The 16,744-nt window shown below is 45.2% G+C and overlaps 1 protein-coding gene and 1 pseudogene across 2 annotated transcripts in view, besides 2 other annotated features; both read left to right on the forward strand.

Annotated features, from left to right (window-relative positions):
* The window catches only part of AEBP2 (AE binding protein 2), a 118,156-nt gene that overhangs the window by 1,268 nt on the left and 100,144 nt on the right, over nt 1-16,744 (forward strand). The window lies entirely within an intron of this gene.
* Nucleotides 2,693-3,193: an enhancer, noted in NCBI's record as "H3K27ac hESC enhancer chr12:19560966-19561466 (GRCh37/hg19 assembly coordinates)". NCBI's record gives its function as "activates a minimal SCP1, AML or CMV promoter by ChIP-STARR-seq in primed H9 embryonic stem cells {active_cell/tissue: H9 hESC(primed)}" and the evidence as "EXISTENCE:reporter gene assay evidence [ECO:0000049][PMID:30033119]".
* Nucleotides 5,230-6,122: an enhancer, noted in NCBI's record as "H3K27ac hESC enhancer chr12:19563503-19564395 (GRCh37/hg19 assembly coordinates)". NCBI's record gives its function as "activates a minimal SCP1, AML or CMV promoter by ChIP-STARR-seq in naive H9 embryonic stem cells {active_cell/tissue: H9 hESC(naive)}" and the evidence as "EXISTENCE:reporter gene assay evidence [ECO:0000049][PMID:30033119]".
* On the forward strand, nt 7,813-8,249 carry PDCD5P1 (programmed cell death 5 pseudogene 1; annotated as a pseudogene).

Below are 16,744 nucleotides of genomic sequence, written 5' to 3' on the forward strand. Positions count from 1 at the left end.
TTTTTGAGACGGAGTCTCGCTCTGTCGCCAGGCTGGAGTGCAGTGGCGCGATCTCGGCTCACTGCAACCTCTGACTCCGATTTCAAGCAATTCTCCTGCCTCAGCCTCCTGAGTAGCTGGGACTGACAGGCATGTACCACCATACCCAGCTAATTTTTGTATTTTTAGTACAGACAGGGTTTCACCATGTTGGTCAGGATGGTCTCCATCTCTTGACCTCGTGATCCGCCCACCTCACCCTCCCAAAGTCCTGGGATTACAGGCGTGATCCACTGCGCCCGGCTGGATTTGTTCTTAAAGAAATTCAAGATTTTCCTCTATTTTCATGCTTGTGGCAGGATGGTAGAGAGGTGGGAGGACTGGCAGGCCCCTAACAGGGGTTCCTGCTTCGTCTCACACCCCCATTATGAACATCCCTCACCAGAGGATACATTTATTAAAATCAATGAACCTATAAACCTACATTGATACTTTATCTTTTTTTTTGAGATGGAGTCTGTGTCCCCAGGCTGGAGTACAGTGGGCCATCTCAGCTCACTGCAACCTCCACCTCCCGAGTTCAAGTGATTCTCCTGTGTCAGCCTCCGGAGTAGCTGGGACTACAGATGTGCACCACCATGCCTGGCCAGTTTTTTTTTTTTTTTTCTTTTTTGAGACGGAGTCTCACTCCAGGCTGGAGTGCAGTGGTGCAATCTTGGCTCACTGCAACCTCTGCCTCCCGAGTCAAAGGACTCTCCTGCTTTAGCCTCCCAAGTAGCTGGGATTACAGGAGCCTGCCACCACGCCTGGCTAATTTTTGCATTTTTAGTAGAGATGGGGTTTCACCATATTGGCCAGGCTAGTCTCGAACTTCTGACCTCAAGTGATCCACTGCCTAGGGCTCCCAAAGTGCTGGGATTATAGGCATGAGCCACCACACCCAGCCTACATTGATACATCATTATCACCCAAAGTCCATAGTTTACATTAGGGCTCACTCTTGGCATCATACATTCTGTGGGTTTACAAAAATGTATAATGACATGCATCATGATTATATTATCATACAAAATAGTTTAACTGCACTAACAATCTTCAGATAAATAGACGCACACTTTGGGAGGCCCAGGTGGGTGGATTACCTGAGGTCAGGAGTTCGAGATCAGCCTGACCAATATGATGAAACCCCGTCTCTACTAAAAATACAGAAAATAGCCGAACGTGGTGGCATGCACCTGTAATCCCAGCTTACTCTGGAGGCTGAGACAGGAGAATTCGCTTGAACCCAGGAGGCGGAGGTTGCAGTGAGCTGAGATTGCGCCATTGCACTCCAGCCTGGGCAGCAAGAGCGAAACTCTGTCTCAAAAAAAAAAAAAAATTTTACTGAGGTCTATTTTATCAATTATTTCTCTCACGGATCTTGCCTTTGGTGTTCTATCTAAAAAGTGATCACCAAATTCAAGATCATCTGGATTTTCTCCTATGTTATCTTCTGTGAGCTTTATAGTTTTGCGTTTTACATTTAGGTCTGTGATCCATTTTGAACTAATTTTTGTGAAGGATGTAAGGTCTGTCTAGTTTCATATTTTGCATGTGGATGTCCAGTTGTTCAACAACATTTGTTGAAAAGACTATCTTTTCTCTATTGTATTACCTTTGCTCCTCTGTCAAAGAAATTTTTTACGTTTAAAAAAATGTAAAGATTGGGCATGGTGTCTCACACTTGTAATCTCGGCTACTCAGGAGGCTGAGACAGGAAGATTACTCAAGCCCAATAATTTGAGAACATTATGAACAACATAGCGAAACCCCATCTCTAACAACAAAAAAGAATTAGCCTGGCATGGTGCACACCTGTAGTCCCAGCTACTCCGGAGGCTAAGGTGGGAAGATTATTTGAGCCCAGAAGTTCAACGCAAGGTTGCAGTAAGCTATTGGTACCGCTGCACTTCAGCTCGGGTGACACAGAAAGACCCCATCTCTTTTTTCTTTTTTCTTTTTTTTTTCTTTTGAGATGGAGTCTGGGTCTGTAGCCCGGGCGCAATCTTGGCTCACTGCAACCTCCACCTCCCAGGTCCCAGCTCAAGCAATTCTCCTGCCTCAGCCTCCCAAGTAGCTGGGATTACAGGCGCACGCCACCATGCCCAGTTAATTTCTGTATTTTTAGTAGAGACGGGGTTTCACCATGTTGGCCAGGCAGGTCTTGAACTCCTGACCTCATGATCTGACTGCCTTGGCCTCCCAAAGTGCTGGTATTACAGGCGTGAGCCACTACGCCCAGCCTCCATCTCTTTTTTCTTTTTAGAGACAGGGTCTTACTATGTTGCCCAGGCTGGTCCTGAACTCCTGGGCTCAAGCAATCCTTCTGTCTTGGCCTCCCAAAGTGCTGGGATTACAGGTGTGAGCCACTGAGCCCAGCCGAGCCTATTGCTTAAAAAAGTTAAAAATGGCTGGACGTGGTGGCTTACTCCTGTAATCCCAGTACTTTGGGAGGCCGAGGCGGGCGGGTCACCTGAGGTTGGGAGTTCGAGACCAGCCTGACCAACATGGAGAAACTCCGTCTCTACTGAAAATACAAAAAACTTATCCCGGCTAGGTGGTGCATGCCTGTAATCCCAGCTACTCAGGAGTCTGAGGCAGAAGAATTGCTTGAACCCCGGAGGCGGAGGTTATAGTGAGCTGAGATTGCGCCATTGCACTCCAGCCTGGGCAACAAGAGTGAAACTCTGTCTCAAAAAAAAAAAAAAAGTTTAAAATGTAAGGAAGATGTTTCTGTTAAGCTATGCTGTTCTTTTTGTAAGGATTAAGTTTGGGACTTAGAGAATACGTATGTGTAGCTACTTAAGTATACATAAAATATCTCACCATAACAAAAATACAAAACCAAATTAGAATATTAGTTGTTTTGGAAAGGGAAACTGGGCAGTTGGGAGGCAGAAGTAGAAAGACTTTTCTTGGCCGGGTGTGCTGGCTCATGCCTGTAATCCCAGCACTATGGGAGGCCGAGGTGGACGGATCACCTGAGGTCAGGAGTTCGAGACCAGCCTGGCCAACATGGTGAAACTCTGTCTCTACTATAAATACAACAAAAAATTAGCTGAGCATGGTGGTGCATAGTTACTTGGGAGGCTGAGACAGGAGAATCGCTTGAACCCAGGAGGTGGAAGTTGCGGTGAGCCGAGATTGCACCACTGCGCTCCAGCCTGGGCCACAGAGCAAGAAAAAAAAAAAAAAAGAAAGCGTTTTCTCGTATACACTTTCTGGATTTAATGTGAATGAATCGCCTATTTCAAAAATGCAAGGCCGGGCGCGGTGACTCACACCTAAAATCCCAGCACTTTGGGAGGCCGAGGCAGGTGGATCACGAGGTCAGGAGTTCAAGAGCAGCCTAACCAACGTGGTGAAACCCCGTCTCTACTAAAAAAATGCAAAAAATTAGCTGGGCATGGTGGCGCACACCTGTAATTCCAGCTGCTCAGGAGGCTGAGGTAGGAGAATCGCTTGAACCCGGGAGGCAGAGGTTGCAGTGACCCGAGATCTCGCTACTGCACTCCAGCATGGGTGACAGAGTGAGACTCTGTCTCAAATAAATAAATAAATAAATAAATAAAGTAAAAATAAATAAAGCAAAACAGCAAAAAAAATTTTTTTTTGTTTCTTTTCCGGAAGATATATTTTATGTAAATATAAGCAAACACATATCTATCTTTTTTACCTGGCATAGAGTTTGGCATAGAATCGGGGAAAAATTGGGCAAAGGAAGTCAGGTACCCCCAAAAGAACCCAACTTGACTACAAAAGCTTGCAGCCTTCAACTAGTGATTTTTAATTAGTTTATTTAATTTTGCAACACCAAAACAAAAAAGTTTTTCCTGCATCATTTAATCTACTTGCGTTAGTGTTGCCCTGAGAGGTGGCTGCAAAATCATATTAGTTCAATTACAGAACTTCGCATTATATTAGGCATAACTATTCCCTTTGGGTCCTAATTAAATAAGGTTGAATCAACTTTCTGCCTTCAGCATTTGTGCTAAAAAAAAAAAAAAATCCCTATTGCATTATCCTACATACCCTTGGAAAAATAAAAAAAGAGAGAATGAATATCTTGTCCCAAAGGGTTAAAACCTCAGAATCATATTTTTTTAACTCACTGGAAAATGGCTTCCACATTCCACAGGATAAGGAAGGAAAACTGTGAAATCACTTTGAATGGATTTGTTCAGCAAGGGAAGAGCTGGCTCATTTTCCACGTGGACTGCCAAGTTCACCAGCCGTGGGGGGAAATGATTTTAGTCTTACTTTCTTACTTCACATACATTTTTAAACTGCAGTCTTATGGAAATGAAAATCCCATTTGGAGATCAGATTCTTCAGATGGATTTAATTTATATACCATTTGACCAAGTCAATCAGACCAGCTTAGTGGAAGGCTTTTTTCATTATAATGTCGTGGGCTTTGCCTAGGAATCTTCTTTTCTAAGTTATAGAAAGTCAATTTAGTAAGTACAGCATCTAATTTAGGCTTTGTACTTAATTACCTTGGGACTGCATTAAAACTTTCTTCTGAGCAATAATTACATTGCTTCTCCTTAAAATGCAAACTCTCTGAATCATAGTCTGATTTAACCTTCCAAAAGCTAGAGTTTCCCTAGATTGACTGGTAGCTAAAAATGCTCCAGGGACCTGATTTCAACCCATAGCTTTTTTGTGTAGTAGTTATAAAAGTGCAAAAATGGAGCAGACCAGGGCAAGAAAACAGAACATGTAGGGCTTCTCTCTCAAGAAATTAGACCCTCTCTCACTCTAAGATAGGGCCAGCGCCCTAATCTTCACTGCTCAACCTCCTTTTTCTCATCCCCCGCTATGGTTGTGGAGTATAAATGAATTAATTTACTCTTATCTGACAGAGCTGGAGCCAGTTGGATTTAACAAAAACTGCAAACCAGCACGTGCTCCCACTCTTATATGTGTACCCTGGGGTTCACCGAAGAACTTTCTGCCACTATTCTTTCCCTTCAAGGGAAGCTGGAGTAAACACACCTCCTGCCACTTCATTACATCAGAGGTTTGTCTCTCCCATTAGTAAATCCACAGAGAGTAGGGACTTCCTGTCTGCCAAATGGTGTAGATGGAAGAGATTCAAATATTTGAGACAGAACCTGCATTGCGTCTGGCCCTTTATAGATGTTTTCTCTAGCTGAGACAGCCAATTCGAATACCCTGCGCTCTCCCTAGCTTCCTTGTGCCTCTAGGAACTGCTTCTCCCCTGTTTCGTGACCTTCATCTACCCCCTTCCCCAACCAAAAGATTTTTGTATTCTTTACCAGAGACCCTACAAAATCCTGGTACATAGTAGGTGTTCAGTAATTATTTGTTGAGTAAATTAAAATACTAAATTATGACTATCTAGGACCTGTTTCCCAGGCTTCTGGAAATAATCAGGATGGTTTCAGCCCATGCGGATCTCAGTATCTAAGAATTCGGGAGCAGGAAACATTTGTAAGACCGTTTAATGCTTGAGCTTGAAGAGACCTGTCAGTGAAGTGCTAATAAATGTAAATAGCTGTGTTTGAGGAAGGAGGGACGGCTTAACTTGCATTGCAGGTGCTAAAATGCGTAATTGGTTTTGGGTAAACTAATTTTACTTAAACTAAACTTAACTTCCATATCAATGGCAGAGAAATTGCTGATGTCAGCAATGATTAAGTTCACTGGCTGTGAGGCGGTCACGGCAAAAAAAAACATTCACTGAAAGCTTATAGGGATGTTAACAGATGTGGAACAACACCCATTTTACTGACATAAACTAAAGAAAAGGCAAAGCTATTAGCAAAAGTCACTTGGAAGCTTGGACTACAATTTGAGAGTGGATCTCCTGAAATTATTTAACTCTGTAAAACAAACAAATTAGCCTATTCTCATCTATAATCCTTGTTCACTCTTAGCTGGAGTGTTAGAACAACTATCCAGCTGATTTACTAATTCGCAATATTAAAGGAAGCTTGGTCCAGAGGGAGGATGTAGCTCACTGTTTCAGCCTGGGAACCTCCTCTACCACATCCCGTGCCCTGATGGGGAGACCCAGCCTTGCCAGAGAGCCACACAGACTGAAAATGCAGAGAGAATTTCCTCTTCTGTCTTTGGTTCTTAGCTCTTACTGAGCCAGAGGAGCCCCAGGACATTTTGGCCAGGGCCTTTTTGCATCTCTAAAAGGGGATTTTACAAATTCCTGCTTCTTAGAGTTGGGAGGATTAAATGAGTTAATCCATGTAAAGTTCTCAGAACAGTGCCTGGCACAAGTAAAGACTTATAATACATACTTGTTATTATTACTATGATTATTCTTCTCTCAGGTTCTGGCACATCTAAGACCTCTACAGTGCTGGAACATCGCCCGAAGGAAACACATTCATTCACATTTCTATTAAGCTCTTCCAGGGAAACTAGCATTTAATGAGCAGCAACTATAAGACAGAAAGAAAACACTTGACATAGATTGACTCGTTTACTCCTCATAATAACTCTAAAAATTATTGCGCACATTTTAGAGGTTGGAGAACAGACTCAGACCATGTACAGTGAAGCTCAGAATTTCCTGGCATAAGGCTGGCTTGGAATTGAAAAGGTATGTCTGACTCTAAACTGGGTCCTCATTCACATCACCCACGTGAAAGGCATGAATCACCAGACTCCTGTCCGTAAGTGCTGCGCAGGTTCTGTACTACAAGGGCACTGGTGGAGACAGCAAGGCTGAGTTCTTCTTATTCTGCAGCTGCTCTCAGCAGGGCTGTATCTGTCCGGAGGTAGTGCCTTTTCCAAGTCACACAGAGGTGTTCTGTGGACTCTCAGAGGCCCTGGAATCTTGTATCTTAAGATTCAAAATTGAAGTCACATATGAACACTAGAGCTGATGTGAAGACTGCATATTTTGATTCCCAAAGTTTTTTATTTTTTTAATTTTTTTTATCTTTTATTTTTGAGACAGGGTCTTGTGCTATCGCCAGGCTGGAGTGCAGTGGTGTGATCTTAGTTCACTACAACCTCCACCTCCTGGGTTCAAGCGATTCTCCTGCCTCAGCCTCCCGAGTAGCTGGGACTATAGGCACACGCCACCACACCTAGCGAATTTTTTTGTATTTTTAGTAGAGAAGGGGTTTCACCATGTTGGCCAGGATGGTCTCGATGTCTTGACCTCTTGATCTGCCCACCTTGGTCTTCCAAAGTGCTGGGATTACAGGTGTGAGCCACTGCACCCGGCCTCCGAAGGTTATTATTATTATTATTATTTTTAATTTTATGGAGACAGAATCTCACTATGTTGCCCAGGCTAGTCTCAAACTCCTGGCCTCAAACAATCCTCCTGCCTCGGCCTCGCAAAGTGCTGGTGTTACAGGACAGAGAAATATGTTATGGAAAGGGGTCCCGAACAAGACCCTAAGAGAGCGTTCTTGGATTTCGTGCAAGAAAGAATTCAGGGAGAGTCCGCAGTGCAAAGTGAAAGCAAGTTTATTAAGACAGTAAAGAAATAAAAGAATGGGGAGGCTCTGGGTGCCTCCCCGGGGGCCCGGTCCCTGGCGCTGCCCTGGCGGCCTCATGGCCGGCTCCGAGGTGGCCATGCCGCTTTCCCCGTCACGAGGGGCCCAGGAGGCTCGCGGCAGGGGCTGCCACATGCAGGACCTGCCCCGGCGTTGGGGTGTGGGGTCCCCTGGCCTGGAGCGGGCTCGTCCTGGCGGGCCTGGATCCAAGCACAGTCTCAGCTTTTGGAGCCAGCAGCAGCCGGGCCGAATTCAGTTTTTCCGGAATTCATTTGTTCTGACCCAAGTTTAGCCGACAGGATCCTGGCGATGCAGCCCAACAGGAAGCAAAGCACAGGGAAGCAGAAATGAGAAACAGTATCTTAACCCAAGTTTTGGATCAGTCGGCCGGGCCAGGTTTAAGTAACTTAGCACTTGTAAAGCCTGAAAAAACTAAAGCAGTAGAGAATTACCTTATACAGATGGCAAGATATGGACAACTGAGAAGGTGTCAGAACAAGGTTTAATAGAAATCCTTTAAAAAGTAAGCCAACAAACAGAAAAGACAACAACAGTGAAATTCAACAGAAGAAAAGTAATGGACTCTGATGAAGAAGACGATTATTGAACTACAAGTGCTCACAGACTAGAACTTAACAGAACAATTCTAGGACAGAAGTTAAGATCTGATTAAATATTTAGTTTGTTTATTGTCTATATGCCTTTTAAAAAATAAACTTGTTATGCAAAATAAAAAAAAAGAAATAAAAGAATGGCTATTCCATAGACAGAGCAGCCCAGCGGGCCGCTGGTTGTCCATTTTTATGGTTATTTATTGATGATATGCTAAACGAGGGGTGGATTATTCATGCCTCCCCTTTTTAGACCATATTGGGTAACTGCCTGATGTTGCCATGGCATTTGTAAACTGTCATGGTGCTGCTGGTAGTGAGCAGTGAGGACAACCAGAGGTCACTCTTGTGGCCATCTTGGTTTTGGTAGGATTTAGCTGGATTCCTTACTGCAACCTATTTTATCAAGGTTTTTTTTTTGTTTGTTTTTGTTTTTTGTTTTTTTTTTTGAGACAGTCTCACTGTGTCACCCAGGCTGGAGTGCAGCGCCGCCATCTCAGCTCACTGCAACCTCTGCTGCCTAGGTCCAAGCGATTCTCCTGCCTTAACCTCCCGAGTAGCTGAGATTACAGGCGCCTGCCATCGTGCCTGGCTAATTTTTGTATTTTTAGTAGAGATGTGGTTTCACCATGTTTGCCAGGCTGATCTTGAACTCCTGACCTCGTGATCCTCCCGCCTCAGCCTCCCAAAGTGCTGGGATTACAGGTGTGAGCCATTGCGCCCGGCCAACAAGGTCTTTATGACCCGTATCTTGTGCTGATCTCCTATCTCATCCTGTGATTTAGAATGCCTTAACTGTCTGGGAATACAGCCCCGTAGGTTTCAGCCTCATTTTACCCAGCTCCTATTCAAGATGGAGTTGTTCTGGTTCACATGCCTCTGACACTGGCATGACAGGCAGCCAGCATACCTGGCCAATTCCCAAAGTTACTTTAAGAGGGCATCTCAAAATCAGTGGGCTTTCAGGATGCACTGAAATTGTATGTGCATGTGAAGTGCCTAAGATTTTCAGGGAATAGGCCTGGCACTAGGATGAGGTGAGAGAGGCACCCAGGATGCAAAAGCTAAGGAGGCATCACTCTCAACATGGGACAAGTGCAGGCTCAGCACTGGAGGGCGATGTCTTTTTCCATTTTGTGCTCTAGGCACCTCACTCTTCTCACCCTAGTCCCAGCTTTATCTGAACAATGAAGAGCTTGGGGACCAGCACAGATAATGTAGGAAAGTGGTTTGAGATCACTTGAGGTCAAGAGTTCGAGACCAACCTGGCCAACATGGTCAAACCTCGTCTGTACCAAAAATACAAAAATTAGCCAGATGTGGTGGTGGGCACCTGTAATCCCAGCTACTCAGGAGGCTGAGGCAGGAGAATTGCTTGAATCTGGAAAGTGGAGGTTTTAGTGAGCCGAGATTGTGCCACTGCACTCCAGCTTGGGCAACAGAATAAGATTCTATCTCCAAAAAAAAAAAAACAGTTTGAGTCCAAATCCCAGAGAACCTTCAGGGTCATACCTGAGAGTTTGCATGTTTCATTATACTTGTCTCTGTACTTTTCTATCTATATGGATATGGGCCAGGTGTGGTGGCTCATGCCTGTAACTTTGGGAGACTGAGGCGGGTGGATCAGTTGAGGCCAGGAGTTCAAGACAGTCCTGGACAACGTGGCGAAACCCCATCTCTACTAAAAAAAAATACAAAAATTAGCCTGGCATGGTGGTGGGCACCTGTAGTCCTAGCTACTTGGGGGGCTGACGTGGGAGAATCGCTTGAGCTGGAAGGCAGAGGTTGCAGTGAGACAAGATTGTGCCACTGCACTCCAGCCTGGATGATAGACGGAATGAGACCCTGTCTCAAAAAAAAAAAAAAAAAAAAAAAAAAAAAAAAAAATATATATATATATATATATATATATATGAAAAATTAAAAAGTGCACAGTCTAGGGGTGGTGATTTTCTAGCATTCAGAGGCCACTTTTGCAAATACTTCTGTTACTAGTATCTTGATCATAGCAACACTTTGTAATTCACCTACTAAATGTGAGAAATGGGTTTTTACTGTTAAAAAGTGACATGTTGACCAACATGATGAATGTTAGAAATCAGATTTTTTTGTCAAAATGAAGGATACTCAATATATCTGATTACCTAAAATTTTTCCAGATCCAGAGGTTTACAGAGATGAGAGATTAAATCAATACAATACAATACAATACAATACAATACAATACAATACAATACAATACAATACAATACCTCCAGAGGCTCTCTTTGCCCTTTCATTACTAGGGTGTAGGAATCCCTAGAGGCCTGTAACCCACACCCATGGCAATGATGTTTTCAGCTAAATCCCTTAAGCAGTCTCTGGCCAAGAACACTAGAGGATTCTGGATGCCTGACCCAACTGATATTCTTTCTGGAATCTTGGCTTTTTCTTGAAATTTCTGGCCAGGTGTGGTGGCTCATGCCTGTAAACCCAGCATTTTGGGAGGCCAAGGAGGGAGGATCACTTGAGAGTTCCAGACCAGCCTGGGTAACATAAGGAGACACTGTCTCTACAAAAATAGAAAAGTTAGCTGGGCATGGTGGTGCGTGCCTGTGGTCTCAACTACTTGGGAGGCTGAGGTGGAAGAATCACTTGAATCTGAGAGGTCAAGGCCACAGTGAGCCACGATAGCGTTGCCGTACTCCAGCTTTAGTGACAGAGTGAAACCTTGTCTTTAAAAAACAAAAGAAAACAAAACAAAACCCAACTTTGGTTACTTGTATCTGCCAAACAGAATTTATCTAAAAGTCATTCATGTCCAAATTGGTTCAGGTTAGTTTGGAATAATAGGATTTGCATATAATTGGTATTCAATATTGCTCATTACTTCCATTTCTAAGTTTTGAGCTTTTTGCTATTATAAATAATCTGAGATACAAATGGTCTTAGCTATCTTTTCTTTTTTTTTCTTTTTTTGAGACAGAGTTTCACTCTTGTCACCCAGGCTGGAGTGCAGTGGCACCATCTTGGCTCACTGCAACCTCCGTCTCCCAGGCTCAAGCGATTCTCCTGCCTCAGGCTCCCGAGTAGCTGGGATTACAGGCACATGCCACCACACACAGCTAATTTTGTATTTTTAGTAGAGATGGGGTTTCACCATGTTGGCCAGGCTGGTCTTTTTTTTTTTTTTTTCTTGAGACAGAGTCTCGTTCTGTCGCTTGGGCTGGAGTGCAGTGGCGTGATCTCAACTCACTGCAGCCTCCGCTTCCTGGGTTCAAGCAATTCTCCGGGTTCAGGATTTCTCCATGTTTGCCAGGCTAGTCTTGAACTCCTGACCTCAGGTAATCAGCCCACCTCAGCCTCCCAAAGTGTTGGAATTACAGGTGTCAGCCACCACTCCTGGCCTATCTTTTCTGTTCTTTTCTTTTTTCTTTTTTTTTTTTGAGTTGGAATCTCGCTCTGTCGCCCGGGCTGGAGTGCAGTGGCGTGATCTTGGCTCCCTGCAACCTCCACCTCTCAGGTTCAAGTGATTCTCCTGCCTCAGCCTCCTGAGTAGCTGAGACTACAGCCATGTGCCACCATGCGTGACTAATTGTTTGTATTTTTAGTAGAGACGGGATTTCACCGTGTTAACCAGGATGGTCTCGATCTCCTGATCTCATGATCCGGCCCACCTCAGCCTCCCAAAGTGCTGGGATTACAGGCGTAAACCACTGCGCCCGGCCCCTATCCTTTCAAGATAAAAATGCCTCATAATTTCCTTTTACTTACCACACACTCCAGCTAAAGTGATTATTCAAACTACTACCTAGATCTTCTAAATACACGCCGTACAACTTTCTTTTCTTTGAAACATCAGACATAAAGTAAACACCAATAAATACTGTGATGTTCTTAAAAGAATCATTCTGTATATATTTCTTAGAAGTTGATGTCGTGGATACATGTCACAGTTTTCTTATGATTCTTTCTTTTATTGAGACAGAGTCTCACTCTGTCACCCAGGCTGGAGTGCAGTCATATGATCTCGGCTCACTGCAACCTCCGCCTCCCGGGCTCAACCGATTCTCCTGCCTCAGCCTCCCAGAGTAGCTGGGATTATAGGCACGCACCACCACACCCGGCCAATTTTTATATTTTTAGTAGAGACGGGGTTTCTCCATGTTGGCCAGGCTGATCTCGAACTCTTGGCCTCAAGTGATCCTCTTGCCTCAGCCTCCCAAAGTGCTGGGATAACAGGTGTGAGCCACTGAGCCCAGCCTCTTTTTTTTTTTTTGAGACTGAGTCTCACTCTGTTGCTTAGGCTGGAGTGCAGTGGCACGATCTCGGCTCACTGCAATTTCCACGTCCTGGGTTCAAACGATTCTCCTGCCTCAGCCTCCTGAGTAGCTGGGACTATAGGCATGTGCCACCACGCCCAGCTATTTTTTGTGTTTTTAGTAGAGATGGGGTTTTATCATGTTGGCCAGGATTGTCTCAATCTCCTGACCTCTGATCCACCTGCCTCGGCCTCCCAAAGTGTTGGGATTACAGTCATGAGGCACTGCGCCCGGCCTAAGAATCTCTATTAACACAACTAGATCTTTCCCCTTCCAGGCCCTCCCAATCCTGAAGCGAATGGAGAGTCTAGCTTCTTTTTAAAGGTCTAAATAGGAAACATTCACCATCTGTTGTCTCTAAGGGTGACCCTCTATGAGACTTCATCTACATAATAAGAGCCTTGGTCTCTACAACCCCTTATCGTAACTGAGACACCCCTTTCTATTGATTACAGGTCTTTATTTTATTTATTTTTTGAGACAGGGTCTCACTTTGTAGCCCAGGCTAGAGTGCAGTGGCACAATTATGGCTCACTGCAGCCTCGACCTCCTGGGTTCAAGTGATCCTCCCACCTCAGCCTCCTGAGTACCTGGGACTACAGGTGCATGCTAACTATGCCTGGCTTTTTTTTTTTTTTTTTTTTTTGTGGATATGAGGTCTCACCATATTGCCCAGGCTAGTCTTGAACTCCTGGGCTCAAGCAGTCTTCTTGCCTTGGCCAGCTAATATGCTGAGATTACTGGCGTGAGCCACCATACTTGGCCCCAGATCTTTATAATTTAACTCTTTCAACTAACTGCCAATCAGAAAATATTTGAATCTACCCAATATGAGTCTGTAAGAATCCCCCCACTTTGAGTTGTCCTGCCTTTCCAGACCAAAACAATGTATACATCACATGTATTGATTGATGTCTTATGTATCCCTAAAATGTATAAAGCCAAGCTGTAACCCAACTACCTTGGGCATGTGTGGTCAGGACCTCTTGGCACTGTGCCTCGGGCCATGGTTTCTAGTATTTGGCTCATAATAAACCTCTGTAAATATCCTGACGAAAGGATCACTTGAGCCCAGGAGGTCGAGGCTGCAGTGAGCCATGATAGTGCCACTGCACTCTAGCCTGGGTGACAGCCTCTGAGCCAGCCTCTGAGCCAACCTCTCCTACATTGAGCACAAGACAATTTTCGTCAATATCTCAAAGATGTGCTTAGTGTAGGAGAGGTTGTCTTTGTCCGGCTAGTGGCTCTTCAGGAAGCTAAACCAGACATCGCCAGTAGTGATCTCCTCACTCTTTTCACTGGGGATGTCCTTCTTACAGGTTGACTTGTGCTGTTTCAGATCTTTAAGGGTGATATTGTTGGTCAGATCCTGGAGGAGGGTCCCATACCCAGCCATCATGCCTCTGGAGCTGAACACTCAGGGTGCAGGCACTCGTGGGTCCCCAGTTCCTGAGCAGCACCCGGAGCCTCCTCCTCCTCGGCTCCCAGCGCCGCCGCTTCCACCTGCCTCAGTTTCCTTGTAATGATAAGATATGGAAAATAGGCCGGGTGCGGTGGCTCATGCCTGTAATCCCAGCACATTGGGAGGCCCAAGCTGGCGGATCACGAGGTCAGGAAATCGAGACCATCCTGGCTACAACAGTGAAACCCCGTCTCTACTAAAAATACAAAAACTTAGCCAGGCGTAGTGGCACGTGCCTATAGTCCTAGCTACTCAGGAGGCTGAGGCAGGAGAATCGCTTGAACCCAGGAGGCAGAGGTTGCAGTGAGCTGAGATCGCGCCACTGCACTCCAGCCTGGGCGACAGAGAGAGACTCCGTCTCAAAAAATAATAATAAAAAAAAAAAGATGGGAAAAACATCTTTGTGTTAAAGTAGCAGTCGGCCGGGCATGGCGGCTCACCCCTGTAATCCCAGCACTTTGGGAGGCCGAAGCGGGCAGATAGACTGAACTCCGGAGTTTGAGACTAGACTGGCCAACATGGCGAAACCCTGTCTCTACTAAAAATACAAAAATTAGCCGGGCGTGGTGGTGTGCGTCTGTAATCCCAGATACTCATGAGGCTGAGGCAGGAGAATCATTTGAACCCGGGAGGTGGAGGTTGCAGTGAGCTGAGATCGCACCACTGCGCTCCAGCCTGGGCCACAGAGTGAGACTCCGTCCTTCCAAAACATCAGATTATCCTTGGTACGGTATCTATATACCTATATAAACTGACCATAACCTAGGACAATAATTTCAAGTGTGCATTAATAGTTTTTTTTTTTTTTTTTTTGAGATGGAGTTTTGCTTTTGTCGCCCAGGCTGGAGTGCAATGGCACGATCTCAACTCACTGCAACTTACGCCTCCCAGGTTCAAGGGATTCTCCTGCCTCAGCCTCCCCAGTAGCTGGGATTACAGGCACCCGACACCTTGATTGGCTAATTTTTTTTTTGTATTTTTAGTAGAGACGGGGTTTCACCACGTTGGCCAGGCTGGTCTCGAACTCCTGACCTCAGGTGATCCACCCACCTTGGCCTCCCAAAGTGCTGGGATTACAGGCATGAGCCACTGTGCTGACCATTTTTTTTTTTTTTTTTTTTTTTGAGACAGAGTCTCACTCTGTCACCCAGGCTGGAGTACGATGGTGCTATCTCGGCTCACTACAGTCTCTACCTCCCGGGTTCAAGAGATTCTCCTATCTCAGCCTCCCAAGTAGCTGGGATTACAGGTGTGCACCACCATGCCTTGCTAATTTTTCTATTTCTAGTAGAGACAGGGTTTTGCTGTGTTGGCCAGGCTGGTCTTGAACTCCTGTGATCTGCCTGCCTCTGCCTCCCAAAGTGCTGGGATTACAGGCTTGAGCCACTGCGCCCGGCCAATAGCTCTTTTTATGTAAGTAAAATTGTCTATTACACATAATTTAATAAAGTCCTGTTTTTACTTCCCTTTCCATCCAATTTACGTTCCATGTCCACTATCCTGCTTACACCTTTAACTGTTTTGGTTCTTTGCCCTCTTGATTGACCTTCCTGGCAAAATGCTGACACTGGGGCAATCCAGTAACCCTGCCATGGACACCTGCAGATTGTCTGCAAGCATCTCCATCACCCCACCCCACAAGCAGCCTCCCATGTCAAGGTCCTGTGGCACAGCCAATCCTAGTAAATTTTGGCGTAAGTCCCAGGCCCAACCTGGGATGTTGAAAATTTCTTCCCCAGGGTATTTAAGGTTGAGATTCAGAAAATCTTCTCAGTTTCTTCATGGCTGAAGATTTGAGTAAGAGTGCTATTCACTAATTAGAATGGCTTGAGAGGGGTTGGGCGAGGTGACTCACACCTGTAATCCAAGCACTTTGGAAGACCAAGGTGGAAGGATCATCTGAGGTCAGGAGTTCGAGACCAGCCTGGCCACATAGTGAAACCCTGTCTCTACTGTAAATACAAAAATTAGCTGGGCGTAGTGCTGGACACCTGTAATCCCTGCTACTCAGGATGCTGAGCCAGAAGAATTGCTTGAACCCAGGAAGTGGAAGTTGCAGTGAGCTAAGATTGCACTACTGTACTCCCCGCCTGGGTGACAGAGCGAGACTCTGTCTCAAAAAAAAAAAAAAAAAAAAAAGAAACAAACAAAAAAAAGAATGGCATGAGAGGGCCCAGTATTTTGGCAGGCTGAGGTGGGTGATTGCTTGAACCCTGGAGTTCGAGACCAGTCTGGAAAAGAAAAATTAGCTGGGCATTGTGGTATGTGCCTGTGGTCCCAGCTATTTGGGAGGCTGAGGTGGGAGAGTCATTTGAGCCCAGGAGGTTGAGGCTGCAGTAAACTGTAATCATGCTACTGCACTCCAACATGGATTACAGAGTGAGACTCTGTCTCAAAAAAATAAAACAAAAAGGAAACATTCAAAAAAGAAAACGAAACATTCAGAATGGATGCAAACCTTGTCACATAGCAGGGGGGCCTGGAGGCCCCTGATGTGCATGTTGTTGTTCCTGTAGTTAGTTGTTTGATGGTGGGGAGGCTAAGGAAGCTATTTAGCATGAGGAGGGTGTTCCAGGAACTCACACAGTAGAATTTACCTGCAGTACAAATATCTTCAGTATTTAAAAAGCAGTATATCAAGGATAGGTGTGGTGGCTCTCGCCTGTAATCCCAGCACTTTGGGAGGCTGAGACAGGTGGATCACAGGAGTTCGAGACTAGCTTGGCCAACATGGAGAAACCCCACCTCTATTAAAAACACAAAAATTAGCTGGGTGTGGTGGCTCGCACCTGTGGTCCCAGCTACTCGGGAGGCTGAGGCAGGAGAATCACTTCAACCTGGGAGGCAGAGCTTTCA

The sequence above is a fragment of the Homo sapiens genome, chromosome 12, assembly GCF_000001405.40.
Source record: "Homo sapiens chromosome 12, GRCh38.p14 Primary Assembly".
Lineage (NCBI taxonomy): Eukaryota > Metazoa > Chordata > Mammalia > Primates > Hominidae > Homo > Homo sapiens.